The sequence below is a fragment of the Homo sapiens genome, chromosome 20, assembly GCF_000001405.40.
Source record: "Homo sapiens chromosome 20, GRCh38.p14 Primary Assembly".
NCBI classification, from domain to species: Eukaryota; Metazoa; Chordata; class Mammalia; order Primates; family Hominidae; genus Homo; species Homo sapiens.
Window position 1 is genome coordinate 43,155,950 of NC_000020.11, and position 26,459 is coordinate 43,182,408.

At 43.8% G+C, this 26,459-nt stretch overlaps 1 protein-coding gene across 6 annotated transcripts in view, besides 1 other annotated feature; it reads right to left on the reverse strand.

Moving 5' to 3' along the window:
- PTPRT (protein tyrosine phosphatase receptor type T) overlaps positions 1-26,459 on the reverse strand; it is a 1,158,017-nt gene that overhangs the window by 1,124,060 nt on the left and 7,498 nt on the right. The window lies entirely within an intron of this gene.
- Positions 19,840-20,450: an enhancer, noted in NCBI's record as "H3K27ac-H3K4me1 hESC enhancer chr20:41804429-41805039 (GRCh37/hg19 assembly coordinates)". NCBI's record gives its function as "activates a minimal SCP1, AML or CMV promoter by ChIP-STARR-seq in primed H9 embryonic stem cells {active_cell/tissue: H9 hESC(primed)}" and the evidence as "EXISTENCE:reporter gene assay evidence [ECO:0000049][PMID:30033119]".

Consider the following 26,459-nt stretch of genomic DNA (forward strand, 5'->3'; position numbering starts at 1 on the left):
TCTCTTTTTAAAAATAATCCCTGTTCTCAGTATTCCTCCCTGGGAGCACTTTGAAATCTGTCCATCATTTTATCTGGGCATTTTTACACACTATTCACGACACCTCCAAGCAACATTGAACTTCCCTGAAATTGAGAAAGGCATGGGGAGTGCTGGGTGGGTCCTTGTGCTGGGAGGAACCTTGTTTGGGGGCTTCTCTCTTTGCTCCTGGTGTTGGAAAGATGAAAGGCCTTATTTCCTGATCAGCACTGGGGACAGGAACCACAGATCAAGTGGACAAGCTCCACCTGCATCAGGCATGGAGGCTTGTCCATAACAGAACCTCAGAATTAGGAGCTACAGCATCAGAGGGGCCTTAGCAACATCCATTTTACAGATGAGAAAACTGAGACCCAAAAAAGGGAGCGGGTGCCTGTGGTTTCCTGGGAAGTTAATGACAGAAGGAGACTGGAATCTAGGGCTCTGAGCTCAAAGAGCTAAAATGACTGATGAATGGAGAGATGGACAGATGCCTGGATGGCACAGAGACAGACAGACTCAGGGGATGACTAATTGGCATCTTGGTATAAAATGATGAATGAGGAGAAAGTCTTCTCCCAAGGCTGTGTTGGCCCATGGTTCCAAAACCTGTCCTGAGACCCCACCCCACCATCTTAAAATTTCCTGCCATGGTTTACAATGGACAAAGAGAGTGAATGGTTGGATCAAACCCAATGCTGACTTGGATGGAGGAGGGAGGATTAAAGCCTACATACTCTTTATACAGCAAGAGTGCCAGGATCTCATCAGTTCCTCTTCAGTCATTGATCATCCAATGGAAAAATTTGCTACAGCTACACTGGAGTGTCTGAGATCATTGAGAGACACCAGCCACAAGGGCTTCCCTGCCTGGCTTGCAGTGAGAGCTCTTTGTTGAACATTTTGAGATTCAAGGAGGGGTACACCCACATTAATCAGCTCCTTGGTCAGGGTTCAGGCAGAGATGGTAGCTGGATGTGATGCATCAGTTGTCAGAAGCCTTCTGCCCCTTCATCCATGCATTCAACACCTACTTGCTGAATCCCTATCACATGCCACTGTTTTAAGCCATTGGGACACAGCAATTAAAAAAAAAGACACAGGCTGGGCACGGTGGCTCACTCCTATCATCCCAGCACTTTGGGAGGCCAAGGCGGGAGGATCGCTTGAGCCCAGGAGTTTGAGACCAGGCTGGGCAACATGGCAAAACACTGTCTCTCTACTAAAAATACAAAAAAAAAAAATAGCCAGGCATGGTGGTACACACCTGTAGTCCCAGCTACTTGGGGAGGGGGTGGAGGCAGGAGGATCACTTGAGCCTGAGAGGTCAAGGCTGTGGTGAGTCCTGATGATGCCACTGCACTCTAGCCTGGGTGGCAGAGTGAGACCGTGTCTCAAACAAACAAAAGATACAAATCCCTGCCCTCTTGGATTTACATCTTACTGGGGATGGGAAGCAGAAACAGACAATTACGAGAAATATAATAAAGTACACTGTAAAGGTAGAACCTTAACTGACTCCCTCTGCAAGCCAACCCATAGCTGATTATGGTGGGAGGGAGTGGGCACTTTGCAGTATTAAACTAAGTAGTTGGTGGGGGAAGGAGACTCACTAATTTTCCCAGGACAGTCACTCCTGGCTTATTCCAGTTGTAGACCAATTAATGTCAATTAGTTTCTTTTAGTGCTACCTTTGTATCTCAAAAGTGTCCTGGTTTGGATGGCAAGTTATATATCGGTCATCTTATTGAGAAGTATGCTTTCAGACTCCAAGGAGGCAAGGGAGTTAGCCAAGCAGGTATCCTAGGGAAGAACAAGTAGAGCAAAGACTCCAAGGTGGGAGTGTGCCTGATGTGTTCAAGGAAAAGCAACTGGGCCCAGAGGCTGGAGCATGCATGGGTTACAGGGACTAAATAGTCATGGGCCCTTCCAAGTTTTCCAACAAAAACTGTGGTTTTGCTGAGTGAGATGGAGGAATTTGGGTGAGTTCTGAGCAGAGGAGGGACATGATCCAATTCTGATTTGCAGTGAGCCTTTCTGGCTGCCATCTTGAGAGTAGATTCTGTCAAGACAAGGCAGAAGAAGGAAGACTGATTAGGAAGCCCTTCTAATAATCCCAGGGGAAAAGAGGGTGGCTTGGCCAGGTGGCTCGCAAGTGGAGGTGGCGAGAGTGGGGGGACTCTGGATGTAGTTTGAAGACAACACATTGGACTTGCTGATGGATTCGATGTTGGTATGGGACATAGAGAGGAATCAAGAAAGACTAGGGCAACTTGGCCAGGGCAAGTGGACGTGTGCAGTTGCCATTGACTGACATGAGGAAGTCTGAGGGTGGAGCTGGTTTGGAGAATTAGGAGTTCAATTCTGGACAAGTTCCATGTGAGATGAATGTTAGACATATAAGTGGAAATGCCACGCAGTTAAATATTGGAGGCAAGAGCTCTGGAGAGGGTTCTGTACTGGAGATACAAATTCGGGAGTCATTAGCATGGAGAAGGTCTTTAATGCAATATTTACCAACAAAGAACATCTGGCCTTTAGTCCAATTCAAAGCAGCACAAATTATATGGTAGTTGCCTATCATTTCATCTCCCCCATTCTGTTCGTGCTCCCATCAAAACTTCCTATGACCCCAAACTACACAGCCAGACCTCACTCCAGGGCCTGAGCAGTCAGAGCTGCAAGGCACCCCAAGGGGTACAAGCACTTCCTGAAACAATTCTACTCTATAACAATACTGGTACTCACCAAGGACACCTTGTGTAAAATAGGAAGCCAGTTGTGGGGAGCAGTGAACATGGAGTCAGAAAATCTAGAAGAAGAATCTTGGCTCTACCAATGGTTTGACTCTAGCTGTGTGACCTTGGGCAAGTCACTCAAACTCTCTGTGCTCAGCTCTCTCACATGGTTTATATTGTGCAGTAAGTGACAAAATCCATCTCAACAGCTTAGCACAGCACCTGGGACATAGTAACCGCTCAGTAAAAATCAGCAAAATGACTGTTTTGTTGCCATTATTATTAGCATTTGACTTAAGATGAGGATAAGGGAACAAATCATTTATTTGGAAGGTAATCCTAGGGGGCACTGGTTAAGGAGAGGCCAAGTGATAAAGAGAAAGAAAGAAGCCAGTGAAGGGTGTGTTCTCAAGCCAGTTATCGCTGTCAGCAAATAGAGCTGAACTCCACCAGGGCACCCTGACATCCAGTGTAGAGTACACACCCCAGAGTTCTCCCACCTGAGGGGTGAGGGAGCTGAGGTATTTATACACCAACTCCCACCAACCATGCCATGAGAGCTGGGGGTGGATACTACTTTCTAGCTTTGGAGAAAGAGATGCAATTGGAAGTCGGCTGGTGCATACTGCAGTGGTAAGGCCCAAAGGATGTGGACAGGGCACACACTGGCACCTGCTGCAGAGTCATCATTGCCTATCTGGGGCAATTCACCCAGCTTCTCTGAGCCTCAGTTTTCCATCTATAAAATGGCAGGCATCATATCTGCTTCTCAGAGTTGGCATGAGGATTTCAGAAAATAATGTTTGTCAAAGCACCTGGCGTGATGCCTGCCACATGGAATTTCAATTTCCTTTCTCCCTTTCTCTTCTCCTCATTACGCCCTTTCCACATGAAGGGAAAACTTACTTGCTCACAAGCCACACAGAAAATGCCTTTCAGAAGGGCACTTTGTGTTTTACAACATTGTTCTCTGGCTGCAGAGCACTCCTTCCATATAATATACTCTCAGATGTCCATAATGATCTTGCTAAGTATTCCTTTCTGGAAGGAGGAAGTAGAGGTGCTTTGATAGTGAGGACGGAGGTTTGTGCCCCCAAGGTATGCTTCATGTCTGTGGTCGCTGTTTTTCGCCCCGACCATGTCAAGGCCCCCTATCTCCAAACAAATTGGTCAAGATGGAGTCATTCCTAATCTGATGACATCCAGCACTGCCATGTGGTGTAAGCTGCTGAGCTGCTAACAGAGACACTGGTAAGTTGACCCAGAAAGGAGTCAATCCCTTCTTACTTCCCCCTGCAAAAAAAAAAAAAAGAAAGAAAAAGAAAAAGACCAACTCAAAAGGCCCCTGCAGGAAACAGGCCTGCCCGGTGCAACCCACCAGCCCATACAGCAGAACAGACGTGGGCCCAGGAGACAAGTGCTTATGTGTGAGCAAGAAGCCACCAGAATACCAACGAGCAGGGAGGTCTCCATGCCAGGAAACCCCCACAACGGCTATTTGTTTGGTGTCCTGGGAAAACTGAGCACCAACTGAGGCCTCACGGAGGCATCCAACAGCCGGAATAAATCTGAAAGAAGTTGACCACGCTGAGACGGACCAGGCTTGGTTACTGACACACAAATAAGTCCAGTTGATTAATAACTACTCTCTGTTTAGAGTTAGCAACGGTCCCAAAGACTGGCATCTTGCTGCATCCAAAGAGGTGCTTGCTGGCATGGATAAGGCAATAAGAATAAATAAAATTAAGTGGTTTCTTTACACAGGACTTTGCTAAGAATCTCACATATGGCATCTTGTTGATTTTTCTTGGCAGCCCCAACACAAACATGATCATCTCCATTTTACTGGTAAAAGAAGCCTGAAGCTCAAAGGGCTTATCAATAATTTGATCATGGTGATATAAAGCCAGTCAACAGGTAAGCCTACACTTACCCACCCATGAAGTCAGCCTTGAAAGAATATTTTTTTTTTAATCTACAGTGTTTTCATATACAAGATCTAATGGAAAACAAAGTGTATTTATTATGTTTAGAAGCCAGAATAGTGGTTAACATTGAGGTGAAATGAGGGGTAACACCCAGGAAGGTGCCAGTATAAGGGACTTTAAGATATTGGCCCTGTACTGCTTCCTGGCCTTGGTGGTGGTTTCACGAAACTCACCTTGTGATAGCAATTCACCAAGGTGGACACTTAGTAACCAGTGAATTTTCTTTAAAAAAAAAAAAAACGTAGAGACAAGGTCTGGCTATCTTGCCCAGGTTGGTCTCAAACTCCTGGCCTCAAGTGATCCTTCCACCTCAGCCTTCCGAAGTGCTGGGATTACAGCCATGAGCCACTGTGTCCAGCCAACTAGTGAATTTTCTATACTTACATTATACTAATGGAAGGATGAGAAAATCACGGCCAGAGGGGGCCAGCTGTCTGTTTTTGTAAATAAAGTTTTCCTGGAGCAGAGCCATTTCTGTGTCGATGTATTGCCTGTGATTAATAATCCGATCCTCTGCAGAAAAATTTTGCTGATTTCTGTGTACACTGTTCAGAACTTGGTTTGAGCACACATTATATCTAGCTTTCTGCTTGCGTTTTTCGTAGGCAAACATGTAAATGAGTTTGCAGACTTGAAGAACACAACAAATGACATGAAGGAGAAAGAGCTCTATGTTACCCTGACACATTCATTAAAGAAGTTATACGGTCATTAATAAAAACACAGATGATCCAATGAGAATGTAAATAAGGAAATTAGGATAAACTGAAGAAAATTAAGAGCAAAGAGAAAGACAGGTATAACAGAAATCATCTTACTTAAAATTACTAAGATTTGGCTGCAACTTTGACTCAGAGTTTCATGGATACCCAAGCAAAATTGGTAAGACACTCAACCCAGACGCTCCAAATGCCAAGGAACCAAGCAGAGCTTCAAACTTCCTCTCCAGAATCCACAGAGCATCCAAGCCTGTGCACACAACTGAAAGCTGGCTGTTCCTGATTTTTTTTTAAAAGCACCTTTTCCCCATTTTTCCTGCAAAAAAGCAACTCATTTTTTGCTCTGATGGGCAAAAAAACCCTCAGGAGCCTAACTTTTGCCAACTGCCATGTGGCACTGCCCATTCCCATCTGGGCTGGCTGGCACAGACCACAGCGAGCAGAACAGAGGGCCCAGGAGGGTCCTCAGATCGTGGCTACATCACAATGACCTACTTGGGATTAGAACAACATTTTAGAGCATAACAGCGTTTTATGGGTCATAAATATTGCACAGATGTTCCTTATTTACACAGACTCGATAGATTATTATTGCAACATTACCATGCTAATATGGTGATTCCTGTTTTCGAAACTGGCGGGCAAGAAGCAGGGAAATGTAATTAAACAAGTATGGTGCACATTTTAGGAGGTTGTTCAGTAAAACAAAATAAAAACACACACTAAAACTGCTACCTCTTATTCAATTTTATTCCACAACTGACTCTCGATGGCAAGAGTTAAACTTTTCACAAAATAGCATTAGCTGGGATTGGAGAATAATAACTTAAATAACAGCAATGGCAGTAACAAACAGCTAGCATTGAATGTGTGCTTACTACGTGTTTTATACATGCATTAACTCACTTAATGCTCAGAACAACCTTATAACGCGGATCTTATAACTATGCCCCTTTGACAAATAAGGAAACTGAGGCAGAGGTGGCCAAGCAATTTCCCAGAGTCAGAAATCTTTTCTCAGTGGAACCAGCATCTGACTTCAAAGTCCATGTTCTGGTAATAACCACACAACAAGCAAAGACTTACTGACAGCTTTCTGCAAAAGCAAAGGCTACTCCGTGCGGTCCCATCCTGGGCCACTAAAGCACACAACGATCAATGCCCCAACACATAACATCACCTCTTTGAAGACAAAGAATGGAAGGTCGGTCTCCATGGTCCATCACTCTGGAGGCAGCAAGGAGTCAAGCTTCCAGGATCTGGTCTGGGGCTGCCTGGCTCCCCTTCCCTTCAGCCACACCAGTCAGTCACCCATGGTTCCAACCACACCAAAGGGTTTGGCTTTTCATGATGACCCGCTGGACAGCAGCTTGGCTCAGGCTGCTCTTCTGTCTGCTCCCCATCTCACTACTCATAGCCAAGCATCATTTCCTGCCAGAAACCATCCCTGGCTCCAGCCAAGTGAGGCTGCTCCTTGCAGCAGCGTCTTACACCTACCATCTCCGTATGGTGATAGCCAACATGCCCATCTGTCTCCCCAAACCAGACGGTGAGCTCCTTGAGGACAGAAATGATCTTTCAGGTATCCCTTGCTGGTGAATCCACAGTGACCAACCCAGAGAAGGAACTCAGCAAAATGGTGAACCAGAAGAACTGGCTAGGAAGAGAGCGGAGATAGCTGCAAGGATGCCCTGCTAGGAACTGTGGCAATCCTTACAAAAGTTTGCCCTGAAACAATCAGCATCCTCTTAGCAATTTTTGAGTCTCCAAAATAAACATCTGTGGTCAACAATGAAATGCACAGAGTGCTCACTTTTTGACAGTCCGTTCTATAACACAAATCTTGCTTGGAGGCCAGCCACATTCACCCTTAATCCTAGGTGTGATCACATGAAAGTGTTCACGTGGTCCACGCAGTACAACTGGGAAGTAAAGAACAGGCTGGGCCAGGCGCGGTGGCTCGTGACTGTAATCCCAGCACTTTGGGAGGCCGAGGGGGGCAAATCACGAGGTCACGAGATCAAGACCATCCTGGCTAACATGGTGAAACCCCGTCTCTACTAAAAATATAAAAAATTAGCCAGGCGTGGTGGTGGGCGCCTATAGTCCCAGCTACTCAGGAGGCTGTGGCAGGAGAATGGCGTGAACCCAGGAGGCAGAGCTTGCAGTGAGCCGAGATCATGCCACTGCACTCCAGCCTGGGCTACAGAGCGAGACTCCTTCTCAAAAACAAAACAAAACAAAAAAAAAAACAGGCTGTATGTGGAAGGCTGTGGCTCATTCATACACATTATTTGGATAGTTCCGTGGCTCCTGCACTGGACTGGTTCCCTCAGGGGAAAAATTATCCAAAGATATATACACCGACAGCACATCTATCTCATGTGTGTGTCTTTGTGTGCATAGAAAGAAGTGGAGAGGAGAGGGAGATATGAACACATCCGTTCCTCAACCTCTCCTTTACGAAATGTGTTCCTAAAAATGAGTTGCAAATTGAATGTTTAAAATTTGGACTATACAGATCCTTGCGTGCTATAAGGGTAGAGCAGAAGAGGGTATACATGGGAGGACGACTTCTAAAAACCATGAAATTTTACCTTTGGTATATATGTTTCATTTTCTTACCCCCTGAGTGTCATGCAATGTACTGATGATTATTTGGGATTATTTAAAATATTAAGAAATAAATTAAGTTACAAATGATAAACTTAATTTTGGAAAGTCCTACCTTAAATTCCAATTATCTCAGCTTACTGAAAATACAATTCATGCAAAGGAGAAAACGAGTTTGCTGTTAGGGACAAGGATGTGCTGGCACAGATATAGCAGAGGATTCGGCACTGGCTTCCACTCCTTCATGCAGTCTTTCAACATTTGTAGAGCACCCAGTACATGCCAGGTGCTTTCTAGGTAGCAAGCAAGAGAGAATTGCTTCTTTAAGTGCTTTCTCCCCATTACATTCAAATGGGAGAAGCAAACTAAGTAAATAACCAAATAAATAAATACTTGGAGATAGCTGATACCATTAACCTATTAACACACCCAAGCTTATGTGGACAGAAAGTGAAGGAAAGATATTTGAGCTGAGTTGGAAAGAAGGCACGTCCCAAGTAGAGGGAACAACTAGAGCCAAGGTCTTGAGGGAGACAGAGGTGTTGACTATACGAGAAGAGAAAAAAAGGCCAAGGTAACTAACACAGTGCCCACAAACCTTTTCTGTAGAGGGCTAAATAGTAGAGACTTTAGCCTTTGCAGGGCATACGGTTTCTGTTGCAACTACCAAACTGCACCATTGCATGAAAGCAACCATAAATAATATGGAAATGAATGGGCAGGGCTCTGCTCCAATATAACATTTTTATGAATGTTGAAATTTGAATTTCATAGAATCTTTGAGTACTACAAAATACCCTCCTTTTGATTCACTATCTACCATTTAAAGATGTAAAAACCTTTCTTAGTTCACAGGCCATACAAAAACAGGCAGCAGGCCAGATCTGGCCCATGGGACACAGTTTTCTGGCTCCTAGGCTAAACTCAGTCAAGTAAGCTGATATGGTTTGGCTGTGTCCCCACACAAATCTCATCTTGAATTGTAGCTCTCATAATCCCCATGTGTCATGGGAGGGACCCAGTGGGAGGTAACTGAGTCATGGGGGTGGGTTTTTCCCGTGCTGTTCTCATGATAGTGAATAAGTCTCACAAGATCTGATGGTTTTAGAGAGGCCAGTTCATCTGCACATACTTTTTTTTTTTTTTTTTTGAGACTGAGTTTTGCTCTTGTCACCCAGGCTGGAGTGCAATGGCGCAATGTCGGCTCACTGCAACCTCCACCTCCTGGGTTCAAGTGATTCTCCTGCCTCAGCCTCCCAAGTAGCTGGGATTACAGGCGCCTGCCACAATCATGTCTGGCTAATTTTTTGTATTTCTAATAGAGATGGGGTTTCACCATGTTGGTCAGGCTGGTCTTGAACTCCTGACCTCAGGTGATCCACCCGACTCGGCCTCCCAAAGTGCTGGGATTACAGGCGTGAGCCACCACACCCACCCCTGCTAAACACACTCTCTTGCCTACTGCCATGTAAGATGTGCCTTTGATCCCTTTCACCTTCTGCCATGATTGTGAGGCCTCCCAGCCATGTGAGTCCATTAAACCTCTTTTTCTTTACAAATTACCTAGTCTCAGGTATTGCTTCACAGCAGTATGAGAACAGACTAACACATAAGTGAATGGCAGAAGAGGGGATAAAAGACAGTATCAGGAGCTAGAAGCAACAGTTTCGGCTTGGGGCTTTATTCTACGTGCAAGTGGAGCAATTTAAAATGGGAGAGATATGGTCTGACTTACGTTTTTAAAAAATTACTTTGGCAGTTGAGTGGCAATTCTGATGATGTCATCAACTTCCTTGAAAAAAATGTGTCAACAGGGAATGGAACACTATCCTCTTGATCAAGCAGTCTGGAGCAAACCATCTTCCCCTCAAAAGCTCTACGGGGCAAGGCATGGTGGCTCACACCTGTAATCCCAGCTCTTTGGGAGGCCGAGGCAGGCAGATCACCTGAGGTCGGGAGTTGAAGACCAGCCTGGCTAACATGGAGAAACGTCATCTCTACTAAAAATACAAAAATTAGCTGGGCATGGTGGCACGCACCTGTAATCCCAGCACTTTGGGAGGCCAAGGCAGGCAGATCACCTGAGGTCAGGAGTTCGAGACCATCGTGGCCAACATGGAGAAACCCTATCTCTAATAAAAATACAAAAATTAGCTGGGTATGGGGTGGTGCACACCTGTAATCCCAGCTACTCGGGAGGCTGAGGCAGGAGAATCACTTGAACCCAGGAGGCAGAAGTTGCAGTGAGTCGAGATTGTGCCACTGCACTCCAACCCCGGGCGACAGAGCAAGACTCTGTCTAAAAAAAAAAAAAAAACCCTCTATGGATCTGTAGATTTCTCTCTGTATTTGAATCACTGAAGGCTTTATTTTTCTTTAATGCTGATTGTCTGTCCACAATTTTAAAGATTTCCTCATTTTCTTCCATCACTAAACATGGCCTTGGAGACACGATGTCTTAGGTTACATTTTCAGGATTTCATGTGTGTTCTTTCATTTTATTTTCCTTTCACAAGTGAAGTCATCTGACCAGTAACCAATTGAAGTTAAATAGTCAATACTGTCTGTACATCTGACAGACTCTATCCTTGCCTCAAATGTATTACCATGAGTACCGGCATTTTCACATTTCCATTTTCTACTCATTTTTATAATGTAAGAAAAAACTGGAGAAAAATTCAATCACAGCTGTACAGATAAGGGGGGTAAGAGAGAAAAACTGGCCTCATGGCTGGCAGACATCAGAGTACAATGGCTTCAAATGGTTTTGTAAAGTCCAAATTCAACACCGGGGTTATAAATGAATAATAATAAAGAAAAGTGTGGTTTCTCCCTTCCCATCAATTCTGCCCTATATGAGAGGAAAGGCTGTCAGGGACTTGGTCCTTTTAGGCTTCCCTGTGTTTCTCTGACTACCCCTCCTGAATCCCAGTTTCCAGTGTCCTGTCAAGAGCCTGACTTGACCTGTTTATTGGTTCATAGACTGTGCCTGGCATCTTGACATTCAACTTAGTCTAGCAGCCTAGCTCCAGCTAACCATGCCCCAGCAGAGAGGGAGTGCCGTCATGTTAGTCAAGTCAGAAAAGCCTTTACTCTTGACAGGTTTGGACCTCTTAAAAATCCAAAGGCATTCAACCCTTGTTAGCCTGGACAAGATACAACTCTGGCTCCCTCAACTGTCATAAGAAATAGATAATGACAACTTCTTAGACATACAGCAACAAAGAAAGGAAGTCATGCATTTCAAACTCTCTTCAAGACACTTAATAAATTAACCAAGGTAAATAAGTAACCAGATCAAATCTATCAGAATTTTTCATCTCCCAATTTCAGTCTCTTAGTTAAATTTCAACCCATCCTATGTCCATAGAAGTGAAGCCTTCTGTAACAAGGCTCTGAATAATGCAAAAAAAAAGAGGTGGGGTGGGAGTTAAGATGTGATTCTGTGACAGCTATAGTCTAAAATGGCCCCAATGATCTTCACCTCCCAGTACTCACATCCTTATATAATCCCTTCCCCTTGAATGTGGCTAGACTAGTGACTAGCTTCTAAGCAACAGAGCATGGTAAAGGTGACGGGATATCATTTATGTGATTAGGCTACATAAGATGATGACTTCTGTCCTGCTACAGAAGTAGCAAGAATATAGCAGATTGTCTCCCTTGCTCAGGAAATGGGGCAAGCCCACATATGTTAGAAAGGTCCATGTGGCAAGAAACTGAGGGTGGCTTCTGGCCAACAGCCCCCTCAAGGAGCTAAAATGCTTAGTCCAGCAGCCTGCAAGAAACTCAATGCTGCCAACAACTATATGAGGTTGGAAACAGATCCTTCCCTATGGAGCCTTCATATGAGATCACACCCCTGGCCAACACCTTGACTACAGCCTTATGACAGATGTTAAAAGCAAAGAACTCAGTTAAGCTGTGCTCAGAGACTACTGACCCACAGAAACTGTGAGACAATAAATGTGTGTTAAGTGGCTAACTTTGTGGTAATTGGTCACGCAGCAACAGTTAACTAGTACAGGGTCCAACTTGTCGTTTCAGTTTGAATTGCTCAAGTCATCCTAATCCAGGAGTCACATGTTGTCAAGTCTCTGCACACCTCTCGCTGCATTATCATAAGCTTTCATGAATTTAAAAGAACAGATTAGAGGTTGATTTCTTCTAAAGAACCACTACAGTAAACCAGTCTCAATCCCTTTCTTCCAGCAAAGGGACATCATCAATTGCCACATCTTCCCCTTTGATGCAAATGACAAAGAGGAAAATCAAACCATGTCATTGCCATCTCTGAGTCCAGGAGAAAGAGATAATGACAGCACCTGGCCTGTCTTGCCTCACATCAGGAATGCAGTGAGATGGTTCTGAGCCATGGACTTTCCCAGACCATTTGAATGAGACTGACATCATGAGGAAGGGGGTATCCTCTGGTTGGGAATCCTCTAGTGGCTGTATCATTATTTTCTATTAAAGCCCCTATTGCATAGGAATTTTTTCCCATGCTGATATGAATCTCTCATGGAAAATAAAAGTTATTTTTAACTATGAGCCTCAGGCTATAAATTCATTCTCCCTAAAGAGTTAGGATCAAGCAAAATCAAAGAAGTTAGAGGAAGGAGAGAAGAACACATCCTGGAGTGACTTGGCCACACCTGCAAACCATGTGCCCTGCCCCACAACTGTCCTCTGAATGCTCTTCTGGGACCTCTTCCCTCTCCCTTTTACCTGTGCCCCTTTTTATGTATTTCCTCCTACATGCTCATCCCACCGTGCCTTCATTCAACCTGCTCCTAAGAAAACTTGACTTTAAGACAGTAAGAGCTTTCCAACTAGCTAAGGTTGATTCTTCAATTCAATGTACTACTCCAAATACTTCAATCCAGAGTTCATTAGGTTGAAGGCATCATGCTAACCCCCACAGCAGACATGTGAACAGCTGTGTCTGCAAAGCCTTTAAAAATGATCCACAAACTTCCCTGCCTTCTTCCATTATAGAATGGGGCCAGAGTGCGCACCCCAGGTTCAAAACCTAAAAAGCAGGTTTCAGGCCTTGCCCCAACCCTCAGTTCTTGTGCAGCCTTGGGTTGGTCCTCTAAACCATCTAAGATCCAGCTTCCTATCTGCAAAAGCATCAGAAGACTTGTTGAAAGCAAGGATTAAAATGGAATGGTATGCCTGAAAATACTCTAAAAAGAGTCACTGCGATTAGGGCAAACAATTTCACCTTTTCTTATAACTCAAAGTTATCCATAAAATAATCGGTTATCGTACTGGGAGCCCACATCTATTTTTTCTCCTCCTGACATTATCATTGTCATGACTGCCACTACATCTTCAGTAAAGCAATAAGGTGGGACCTTTGGGGTCTTCCAAGGAGAAAAGCATGCTTGGCCCTCATACCTAGCAGCTGCAACTACTGAGTTGATTGAGCTTTCATCACTGCTTTTTACATTTATACCTCCTAATTCAACACTGGGGGTTATAAATGTAGCAACAGTTAACTAACACAGGGTCCAAACTGTCATTTCAATTCGAATTTCTCAAGTCATCCTAATCCAAGAGTCACATGCTGTCAACTCTCTGCACAATTCTCACTGTATTATCATAAGCTTTCATAAATTTAAAAGGATAGGTTACAGGTTGATTTCTTCTAAAGAACCACTACCGTAAACCAATATCCCTCCTCTTCTCTAGTAATGAGGTCATCACCATCTTTATTTATCAGCACTGCAAGCATGCCTCCCTGAAGCAGCCTTCTCCCTCCTTCTAAACCTTCTGAGCTTAGAAATCAAATAAAAACTTGCTAGAATTGTAGGTAAAGTAAGAGCTGCTGGCCACTGAAGGAGAGACTAAGGGCTCTCCTCTGGAGGAAAAAACAAGAGCTTTGTGTGTTTAATATCTCTTTGGTGGCTCAGAGGCTCTTTAGCTTCTTTCTAGGTTCCACGCAGTGCATTAGAAGGCAAGTCTTCTATTTACACAATGTCTGGTATATAGTTACCATTTCCTATTTCTATCTAGGATCTCACCTGGTGCCCACCCACCGGTGTTGATGTGTATCTGCATGTCTAATACACAACAGCAATGAGACCATGGGCATTCCACTCTTAAATTAGGAATTTCCCCCGTATATATACTCGATATATATACGGGGGAAATTCCTTATTTGATATACAGAGGAAATTCCTATTTAAGCATGATCATCATTTCCACACTATTTATTCACCATTTTATATATGTTACTTCATGTTATGCTCACAACCATCTAATGAGATAGGCACTATTATTCCCATTTGCTAGGCACTATTAATTTCCATAAAGAAATTTAAAGCTCAGAGAGGTTAACTGATTTTCCCAAGGATATAGAGAGAGTAAGCATGATGATTAAGAATCCCAACAAGTCTGGCTTCAGAGCCCATCCAGATGGCGATGAAAAGATCTCCAACAATGGCTATAAGTTCAAGTCACATTACAAATTTTTCCTAATGAACAGAAGTGAACTCTAAAATCCACCCATCAAATTGAAATTTATCACGACACATGCGTGAGTTAACAATTCTCCAAAAGGTAATAATATTATAACCACCACTGCTACTATCCCTCACCAGGTATTTGACATGCATCCTCTGAAATCTTCATAACCCCCTGCCAGACTGGTAGAATTATTCCCATTGACAGCGGGGAATCTGGGCTCAAAACATCACAGTAATTTGCCCAAGGATGCAGACTCAGTAAGTGGCAAGAGCTGGGATTTTAATTCAGCTCTCTCTGACTCCAATGCCTCTTCTCTTTCCAACATGTTGAGTGACCCAAGATGAGATATATTTAAGGGCAAACTAGTCTTCAACAATATAGTCAATCTTCACAATTCAGAAGATTCTTGTGAATCTTTCGCAGCTTCGAAACTGAGACAATGCTGGTCTGGAAATGAACATAGCTGGGTGGAAACCAGGTTTGTCCAGTTAACAGCTGCGTGACTGAGTATGTGCATAACCTCACTAAGACTGCATTTCTTTATAGTAATGCAATTTCACAGGGTCTTGACGTGGATTAAATGGGATAATGTGTGACATATGTGCAGGTATCAAGGTCTGTGGCACACAGAGGGTACTTTAAGTATTCTTTCTTTAATTATTATCTTTCTTTAGAAAATATAAATATGAATTGAGATTTCTGAATGACAGATTTAAGATAAAACAGCTACTATTATACAAGACAGAACACAGAATCTTCGATTCAAGATTAAAATTGCTGAAAGTATCCTAGAAATCACTGAATATTCATTTATTCACCAACATTAAGTGAGCCCCGACTATGTGTAGGAATTGCGCTAGGCATGGGGGATCAGCAGGGAAAAGAACAAAATACGGATGATTATGGAGCACAAATTCCAGTAGAAAAAAGTCAGAATAAAATAGAAAAGAGTCTAAAATAAAACACAAAGATAAACAAGAAGACCATTTCAGAGAGTTAAGTGTTATGGTTGGAGACAGCAAAGCTCCCTCTTATTTGGCTGAGAGGAAAACTGATCTCCAAACCAGAGAAGGGATTTGATTGGCCAAAGACCCCACCCAGGATTAATGGTGTGTCTTTGTTCTCTAGACCAGCGATTCTCAAATTTTCACATCTATCAGAATCACCTGAAAGGGTTTAAAAACACAAATTTCTGGGTCCCACGCCAGAGTTTTTTATTCAGTGGATCTGCTATGGAGCCCAAAACTTTGCATTTCTGAAAAGTTCCCAGGTGATGCTGACACTGCTGGTCCAGGGGCCACACTTTGAAAACCACTGCCATTGAGGAACACAACCATACCAGAAAGTAGTGAGGCAGAAAGAGCAGAGGACAAGTACCCTAACCCCTCTCCTCCTGCCATACCATCTCCTACCAGTGCCAAACTCCATCACTAAACTCAGTCAGGAATCAGAATGCAAAAGAGTCGAGGTCATGTAGCCTCCTGGAACCCAGCGCAGTACAGAGAAGGGCTCCATTAACACAATTCCCTCCCCTTGCCCCTTTTCACATTAAAGGGTTCAAAACCTCACTGAGGCTTCCCACTAGTCCTAGTCTCCAAGTGCCTCGGCATCCCTTGTGAGTTCTCTTAACCTCAACCCCGCCACATGAATAGTCCCTTTGTTAAAGCCTCTTGACACACAGGAGTTGAATTCTGTTTTCTGTTAAGATCCGGAGAGATACACCACCAGATCCCAGACAGTTCCACTAGTGGGATAATTTCCAAAACTGACAAACAGCTCTTCTATTTCTTCCTAAAGTAACAGCTATAAAATGCAGGTCAAATATCAGATAATCTTTTTTGCTACACAAATACAAATCGTATATGCAATTCGCAAGCCCTTGCACAGGCTGTGCAGCAAGATCACTCTAAATACAGCTTGTGGGCCTGGGATGAGCATTAGAGTGACCGACTCATCCTGATTTGTCTCAAACATTCCTGCGTTTTCAATGAGCACTGAAGGTCCTATGTCCTAGGAACCATCTCCATCCTGGGCAAACGAGGACAATTGGTCACCCCAGCCACGCACTCTTATGTTTTCTTGCATTTATGATGCCTCCACTGAACTCCCAGCAATAGCACTATAACCAAGGATGGCTAGTATTTATGGAGCACTTTCCATGAGCCTGGCTCCTTGCTAAGCATTTGACATACCTCACCTCATTAATTTCTCACAACCATCCTACAAGCAAGTTACTACAATTTGCCTCATTTCACAGATGATAAAATCGAGGCTCAAAGGGTTTAAGTAGCTTGTTCAGGTCACACATACAGCTTATAAATTAGCACAGGCTTAACTTGAGCCCACAGTCTGAGATCAGAGTCTGCAGTCTTTTTTTTTTTTTTTTTTTTGAGATGGAGTTTCACTCTTGTTGCCCAGGCTGGAGTGCAATGGCACAATCTCTGCTCACCACAACCTCCACCTCCCGGGTTCAAGGGATTCTCCTGCCTCAACCTCCTGAGTAGCTGGGATTACAGGCATGCGCCACCAGACACGGCTAATTTTGTATTTTTAGTAGAGACGGGGGTTTCTCCATGTTGGTCACGGCTGGTCTCGAACTCCCGACCTCAGGTGATCCGCCGGAGAGCCTGCACTCTTCACCACCACATGGTTCATGACAGAGCAGATGGACTCACCTGCCCCAGATCTGATTCCATAAGGAAGGAAGATTCAGCCAAGAACTACCAAAAGGGCATGTTAGAAACCAAGCATTAACACTGCAGTCACAGAGCGGAAACTTAGAGGGGATCTACATGTTCTTCATTTTAAGGCACACAATGAAAAAGTCAACCGCAAGGTGTTTGGTGCCTTTGGAAAATCAGAGATAAAATTATGCAGGCCCTTATATCTCAGAATCAGAGATTCTTGCAGCAAAATCTGTGGCATTCAACACCTGATGCATCCTACAAATGCAAAAGCAGTCCCATCTGATGCCTTGGCTTCGAACTCTTATTTGTAAAACTGGAATAATGATCACCTGTCTTAAATCCACAAGGTGGTTGTCCTGTGGAGAAAGTAAACTCAACTAACTCTGTCCAGCCAGAAGTGTTTTCCTAAACTGCTGTGCTTGCGGGAGCCCCAGAGGTCCAAAGTCCACAGTGTGGGGTGATCCCTGGGGTTTGGTATACGGCACCTTCAGGTGCTGGGTCCCCAGTGTGAAATCAGGGGCAGCTATATCTAGGGGCTCAACCTCTGTTCCAGGACAGGTGAGGGTCCTTCCCTCAGAATTACCTGCTTGTATGACTGGGATAGTTGAGACTCACTTGTTGGGGAGATGGAGCTTCCTTCTGGGAAAGACAGTCTCTCTCTCCTGTACTTCTTATTCCCATAAAAATCTTCTAACATTCGACATCACATGGTGATTAAGAACCTGGACTCTGAATGAGACGACCACAGTGTGATTGTGACCAAGCCCTTGAACCTCCATAAAACCAATTATCTTATCTGATACATGGGATTGCTGTGTCTGCCTCATGGGATCATTATGAGAATTAAATGCAGTCTTAGAATTTCCCCAAAGACATGCTCATTGAAAATTCTGAACAAAGGCTTTCCACCCAGTAATTTCAAACAGGACCTAATTTTCTCCATAAGTATGAATTTTGCACAGCACATGGCACAAAGTAAGCCAGACAGAGAGAACATAAAGTAATGCCCAAGAACACAGAATCTAGCCTTGAATTCCTCTGGCTCAAGTCAAGTTCCCACACTGACTAGCTGTGTGACCTAGGGCTTGCTACTTAACCACTCTGTTCCTCAGTTTTGATGATCATTATACCTACATCATAACAGTGTTATGAAAACTCAAGGAGTGATAATTAGTAAAACCCTTGAAAAGTATCTGGCCCATTACAAGTATTTAAAGCATGTAATAATGTTAGTGCTTCCTATTTGGTAGTCATTTCATCTCCTGCATTTATTCCTCCGATTTTCAGTTTAGATCCTTCATATTCAGCAGACCCTGCTGCACCTGTGATTTTCATAACTCTTGAATCTAGTCCCTGTTATTATCGCCCATCATCCATCATTTCACCATATGATTTTTCCCCTTCTTGCATTTTCTGCTTTTCATTCCAACTTGAGCCAAATGCTCTTCTCCTCTGTATACTCTTTTGGGTTTAGAAACCTTCCTCCCAGGAAAGTGAAAATCCCTGCTGTCATATTCGAATGTGGACAGTTCTAATGGAGTCACTGTTTGAAATGAACAATCCTGGAAACAGGTTGCTTTATCTCCTGGACCTGGGGATTTCAAAACTTATTCCTTTTGAACAACCAAACCATGAGTAGTGTCAAATAACAAAACTGATCCATTGGGAAAATATATTTTAATATATTTAATCTTTATCAAAGATATCCAATGATTTGGTTTTCAGAACATAAAATAAAAATCCTAAAGTCAGAGGCCTAGAAGTTTAGTCTTTAAGAAACATAGAAATCATCTGGACATTTCACAGATGGGAAAGTGATGCCCAAGTTCACAGCATCTCTAAACATTGAAAAGACTGCGCAACATTATTCTTTGAGTCAAATGTGCCTTTCTGACGCCTCAGGCAAACCTAAGGCCAAAGGCTGTCCTATGAAAGAATCTCTGCTATTTCTCTGGGATGCGAGGAAGTCTCCTCCATGGAGATGCCAGGAAAGAGAAAGAGACGGAGGTGTGACAAGGGAATAGAACTGATGGCTAAGAAGGTCCCCTCCACGGGCCCCATGCACTCCTGTTCAAATGTCTCCCTGTGTCTGTGATAAAGTTCTCTATTTCCCTTCTTCTGCATGATGCAGGGGTGTTAGGATTCCCAAGAGAAATCCTTTACAAACTCGGAAATAAGGCCTTCCATATAGAAAATAAAACCTAAATTTGTCTTGAAAAGATGACAGAAGCAAACTGTACATATATTTAAAATTCCTATTATCTGTACCTTATTAATAAATCTTAAATTTCAAGAACATCTCTTGGAGCTGTGACTGTGCCACTGCACTCCAGCCGGGCAACAGAACAAGACTCCGGGCTCTGACTGTGCCACTGCACTCCAGCCTGGCAACAGAGCGAGACCCCGGGCTCTGACTGTGCCACTGCACTCCAACCTGGCAACAGAGCGAGACTCCGGGCTCTGACTGTGCCACTGCACTCCAACCTGGCAACAGAGCGAGACCCCGGGCTCTGACTGTGCCACTGCACTCCAGCCTGGCAACAGAGCGAGACCCTGGGCTCTGACTGTGCCACTGCACTCCAGCCTGGCAACAGAGCGAGACCCTGGGCTCTGACTGTGCCACTGCACTCCAGCCTGGCAACAGAGCGAGACCCTGGGCTCTGACTGTGCCACTGCACTCCAGCCTGGCAACAGAGCGAGACCCTGGGCTCTGACTGTGCCACTGCACTCCAGCCTGGCAACAGAGCGAGACCCTGGGCTCTGACTGTGCCACTGCACTCCAGCCTGGCAACAGAGAGAGACCCTGGGCTCTGACTGTGCCACTGCACTCCAGCCTGGCAACAGAGCGAGACCCTGGGCTCTGACTGTGCCACTGCACTCCAGCCTGGCAACAGAGCGAGACCCTGGGCTCTGACTGTGCCACTGCACTCCAGCCTGGCAACAGAGAGAGACCCTGGGCTCTGACTGTGCCACTGCACTCCAGCCTGGCAACAGAGTGAGACCCTGGGCTCTGACTGTGCCACTGCACTCTAGCCTGGCAACAGAGCGAGACCCTGGGCTCTGACTGTGCCACTGCACTCCAGCCTGGCAACAGAGCGAGACCCTGGGCTCTGACTGTGCCACTGTACTCTAGCCTGGCAACAGATCAAGACCCTGAGATATGATTGCACAGCAGCACAATCATAGCTCACTGCAGCCGCAAACAGACATCACTTTTTAAAGGAATAACTGAAATGCAGAAATATTACAAAGAGAAGTGCAATTAACACCTAGGTTCTTCTCCACCAAGAATTATCAACCAATTTTAACAAATTTTCTTAAAGTATGTTCTCCTTTTCAAAAGCAACAGAATATCACGGACAAAGGCAAAATGCCCTTTATCCACCATCCTAGTTCCATTTTTCCCATACCTCTTCTAAAGAGTGTAGCCTTCCATTCTGCTTTCAATGCTGACATAAACTTACATAGTTTGATTATTAATACATATTTGATTGATGTATCCATTAAATTACCCCTGTTTTCTTTCCACAGAAGAACATGTGGATTTGCAGATGCTGACTTTGGTTCATGTACCAGAAAATCCTGATATTTGTAAATAGTCCTTAAATAGATGCCCAGATTATTAGTATGAGGTCATCCAACATGCTGATATAGAAGGGAAGCTGCATAGCAAAAATTGGGATGCTTCTATGTACAAGCAGGATTCTGCTAGTTTGAAGAGGTCACTAGACCTCATTAGTAAACCATGAGGCCAGAAAAAGCCAGCCCAAGATATACTACATCTGCTTCAGCTCTGTGTAGTCACCGCACTCCCATAATATCCTGTATTTTTGGCTAAATAAATAAAAAATGTATAAGTTTGGGAGCACATACAAGGTCCTTGCCAGATAATCTGTAACCCATCTGCAATGACGCCATTGGTGTCAGAAGTGGGACAGACATGAAGAGCCCACCACAATGGCCACATTTTGGATAGGGATCAGAATATCAAAGTAGGACACAATGAGTAAAACATGCCTAAAACATGAGAATTTGCGGGGAGCTGAGTCTAGTGGAATTTATCCATGGTTCTTCTCCCTTCATCCATTTGGACCTGACATATAGTGAAAGATGGCTGGGACAAAGGTAGTTAGCACAAGGCAAAATTCCTGGAACCTTTTGTGTGAGCCAAAGCAGTGGTTAGAACTAAGGATCTCCAGAAAAGATGAAACCCCAGAAGGAGGAAATATCTGAAGTTTGAGCCAAAAATCTATGGATCACAAAAGGATGCTCTCAAATTAGACATCTGAAAAGGAAACCTGGAATGGGAAAGATACCAAAGACCCCTAGAATCCCAGGTGGAACAGGTGGTCAGCAGCTTTCCAGGGACAAATGATAACTGCTGAGGCTTTGGAAGTATGAGGAAATGGGAATGGAATAAAGAAATGCTTCAATGCTCATCAAGCCAACTCTCAGGCAGAACAATTGCAATACAGAGAGATTTACACAAAGACATTTAAATATATGTTAAATATTTCGTATGTGGGAAGAGGAAAAGATAATAAGGATAAGAAGTCTGACTTCATCAAGTCAACCTTCAATAAAAAAGTGACCCATCAGGAACCTGGCCCCGTTACAGTTTTAAACTAAAAAATTCTGTTTTAAAATATGTGTATACTTTCTAAAGGCAGCAGTAACTTTGAAATTTGTTCAAATTAATTGCACTTTTCCAACAAAAATGGTGTTCAGAGCATCAAGTCCCAGAAATATTTTCCTACTTGGAACAGGGATCTTCCAAGAGGAAAACTTAAAGAACTTCATTGAGATGGAAAATTCACCTTGGGAAGTATACCCAGAAAAAGTTTATAAAACTTCTGCTGAAGCAAGGGTGTTGTAGTATCTGGATTTGGTTGGGTGTTTGCGTGATTAAGCTGGGCATCTCACAAGTTGAAAACCATACATTTCCTCTTTTCCAGTAGGTTCCACTGCTCCTTAGTAAACCTAATAAAAATGATCTCAAAACTGCAACTGAAGTGTTAGACAGCTGGCCTCTACTTCATCCCAGACAATTTTGTTTAGGGGAAGATAAACACCCTGAACTGGAGCCAGCTGAGACACAGGGAGGAAGCTGGCTTTGTGCCTGGCTTCTTTAAGGCTAGAAGCTCTGGGAAAATAACTAATCATTCCTGACACCCACCCCGCAACCCTGATTTGAGACTGTTTAGAATCTTGGCTCAAAGTTGTGATTTCTGAGCTGAAAGCCACTCCCCCATTCCAATACACACACTTTCTATTTAAAAAGGTGAAAAAATAATGCAAAGGTTAAGAGATGGTAAATGGACAATCTTAGGCAGAGGAAAGATTCACTGACAAAGAAAAATGTAACAGTCAAAACATCCAAAGCTCTGGATCTGAAAAGAGAAGAAAGACTGGACACTGAAATGGCTTTGAGCTCAAAGCTGCAACAGCAGAGCAGAACAAGTTCCTTGACCCAGGCCTGTTAAGTGCATTTGTGCAGGTTCCACACAACAACAGGCAGCAGCCCTGACCTAGACACCTAGAACATGGTACCCCCACCTCCCTCACACCCAACCTTGCACTGCCAGATGTAGCAAGACTGAAGGGGACAGGTAATAAATGAGAAACTGCTCAAAAACCCAAGCCCCTGAAAGTGGAGGCCAAACACTTCCCCAAGGCAGATGAAGGGTGAACTCAAGGTGTCTTAGAGCACTCGTTCCCAGGGTCACCTTGTAGAAATGACTCAAAAGGACTTAGGGTTGGAACCATCATACATTGGTGCCTCTTCTACCAAAATACAGATACTGCCTAGACAAGAACAATGGGGATCTTTGGAATCACCACCACCCCCGAATGAAACAATTAAACTGTAAAAACCAGTAAATTCTTGAAGCACATCTCCACCAGAAGTCCAATGTCTGGTCAGCCCATTTAGATTCTGACAAAACATCCTTCCTTCACTGCAGGATCTCCTGGGGCCCTAAACACAGTTACCTTGAAAAGAATATTGTGACAGTTTCTTCTGTGATGACTGTACTACTGCCACAACAACCAAAACCAAGAGTTCAGGCATGACGTGTTTCAATCCATATAATAACTTACGTGTTTACATCAGACTTTTTAATTGCTATAACTTATCATATTCTCTATGTTAGTTTTATGGAGCCCATTTTTAAACCTCTGGAAATGGGTTAGAAAGGTCTAAAATAAGCGCCAATTTTAAAAACTGGGATATGTACATGTAATAAAAATATTAAGTTTCAGCTAAATTATATCATAGCCCTAATCTATTGGTGTTTTTTATAAATTGGTTTTTGTGGAACTTAGATACCAGTGTAAAAATTGTAGTCTTACAAAAACACAGTCGTACTTCAATTTTGGGGGTAAAGGTTGAAAAGTTTTCTGATGGATCTTCATATTAATTCACTTCTACTTTCTGACATGCCTAATTAACTTCTACAAAACTTAAACTAAATCCCTTCTGAGACACTAAATCTCTCTATTCTAAGGCCTTTAAAGAGTGAAAGCCTGACACTGAACTGGCATTAGTGCCCCCAAAATAAAAAGAATTAAAAGATCTGAACACACTTCAAAGGTTATATTTGTATTTTTCTCCAAGAAACAAGGTTTCCCACACTTGTGTGTGACTTCAGGTTCCTGTGGTGGGCAGCTCCTGAAATGGTTCCCAATGACCCCCACTTCCTGGCATTCATGCCTGTGATGGTTAATCCTATGTGTCAACTCGGCTGGGCTAACAGATGCCCAGCTAGCTGGTAAGATGTTATTTCTGGGTGTGTGTGTGAGGGTGTTTCTGGAAGAGATCAGCATTTGCACTGGTCAACTGAGTAAAGCAGATGGCCCTCCCCAATGTGGGTGGGCATCCTCCAATCCACTGGGGGCCCGAACAGAACAAAAAGGTAGAGAAGGGCGATTCTGCTCTCTTGGCTTGAGCTGGGACATCCATCCTCTCCTTCCCTTGGGCATCAGTGCTCCTGGTTCTTGGGTGTTCAGACTCAAGTCAGAGCCTACACCATCAACCCCCAAATTCTCAGGCCTTCGGACTTACATCATCAACTTTCCTGGGACTCCAGCTTGCAGACTGTGGGACTTCTCGGCCTCTAAACCTGCATGAGCCAATTCCTATAAGAAATGAATCAATCTCTCTCTCTCTCTCTCTCTCTCTCTCTCTGCCCCCACCTCCCTCCCTTCCTCTCTCTCCCTGTCATATATATATAGAAAGAGAGGGAGAGAGAGGGAGAGAGGGATATATATATATATACACCCACATTTTTTTTTTCAAACAGAGTTTCACTCTTGTCTCCCGGGCAGGAGTGCAATGGCATAGCCTCAGCTCACTGCAACCTCCACCTCCCAGGTTCAAACGATTCTCCTGCCTCAGTCTCCCAAGTAGCTGGGACTACAGGCACACACCATCATGCCCAGCTAATTCTGCATTTTTAGTAAAGACAAGGTTTCACCATGTTGGCCAGGTTGGTCTCGAACTACTAACCTCAGGTGATCCGCCCACCTCGGCTTCCCAAAGTGTTGGAATTACAAGCGTGAGCCACCACCCCCAGCCAATATATAATATACATTTAAAATGTGATATATAATATATATGCCCTATTATATATTCTAATATATATAGCCTATTGGTTCTGTTTCTCTGCAGAACTCTAAGACAACTTCCTTGTGCAATTCCTTCCCCTTGAGTGTGAGCTGAACCTAGTGACTTGCTTCTGACAGAATATGACAAAGTGATGTGATGTCCCTTCCCAAATTAGGTTACAAAGGACTGTGACTTCCATCTTGCTCACACTCTCTCCGGCTCTCTCACTTGCTCACTCTGACAAAGCCAGCTGCCACACTGTGAGCTGTCTGATGAAGTGGCCTGTGTGGCAAGGAACTGAGCGTGGCCTCTAGCAAACAGCTCATGAGAGACGGAGGTCCTCAAGCCAAGAGCCCGTGAGTAAGTGAATCCCGCCAACAGCCACGGAAGTGAACCTGGAAGCAGACCCTTCCCCATTCAAGCTGAACTGACTGCAGCCTGTGAGGGGCCCTGAGCCACACGACCCAGCTATGCCACACAGATTCCTGAGCCAAAGAAATAGTGAGACGATAAAGCCACTGCATTGGGGGAGTGACTTGTTATTAACAGACAATTAATATAGCTCCTTTAGAACAGGAGTTGGGCCTACTTTTCCTTTTCAGAAAGTTGGTGCCCAAGAAAGAAACATGGACAGCCGGGACCTGACTCTGGACCTGACACTGGGCCCAGGCACTTGGAGGCCAATTCCAAGATGCTAAAGAAAAAAAGACACGGTGACCTCAGCTTCTCAGTAATACTCACTGAAACACATAATATGGCAATGTGGCAAAATTCTTTTTAATTAGATTAATGAGTTATCCTATTCAAACTAACTTTACAAAATCAAAGAGATAAACAATCATAAATGCATGCTGTTTAAAACCTCTTTCTTTTCTATCCCTAATGCCACCAGCTGTTCCCATTTTACCCTGCTGTATGCCAGTGTTCAAACAAAACACCAAAAATATGCACCCAGATTCCGATGTTCCCACAACAAAGGGACTAGGGCTCTTTAAATAATAACTACTATTATAATAATATAATAAATAATAACAAACCAAGACGTGGGCCTGAAAATCCTTGTTGTCACTGGAAAATAAGGACTCTCTCAAGGAGGTCTGGAGGTGGTAAATAAGAACCTGGTTTGAAGGAGCTTCCAATAGCCAAACTGATCACTTAAGGGGGACACGCACAAAAGCATAATTACAGTCAATCAGAGGAAGTCAAGATCACCCAAGGCCACTAGTACCTGTGATGATCCAACATGAAGCACTGTTTTTTAAAAGTCCTGCTTGCTGATGTGAACCCATTCATTCATGCTCAGTTACAAAGAGACAAATGCGTGATCCCTAAGGGATGACTACATAACCACCCACCAGGAGGTCAGGGAGGACCAAGAGAAATGGGTTTGTGGTCTTGTGTCTGCTCCTAGAACCAACAGGATAAAAGGGGGAGTAAAGCAAAATGAGGGGTGGTCTGAGAAGAAACAGGTTTCCAAGGTCCTGGGAAGCAGGAGCTGGAACATAACTGTGGAACATGTAGTCGGCAGCACTGCATTCTTCCACAGAAAAGGATAAGCTCCACGACGCTAAGAAAGTTAGAAGTTTGCAAACATCTTCCTTCTTTTTTTTTTTTCC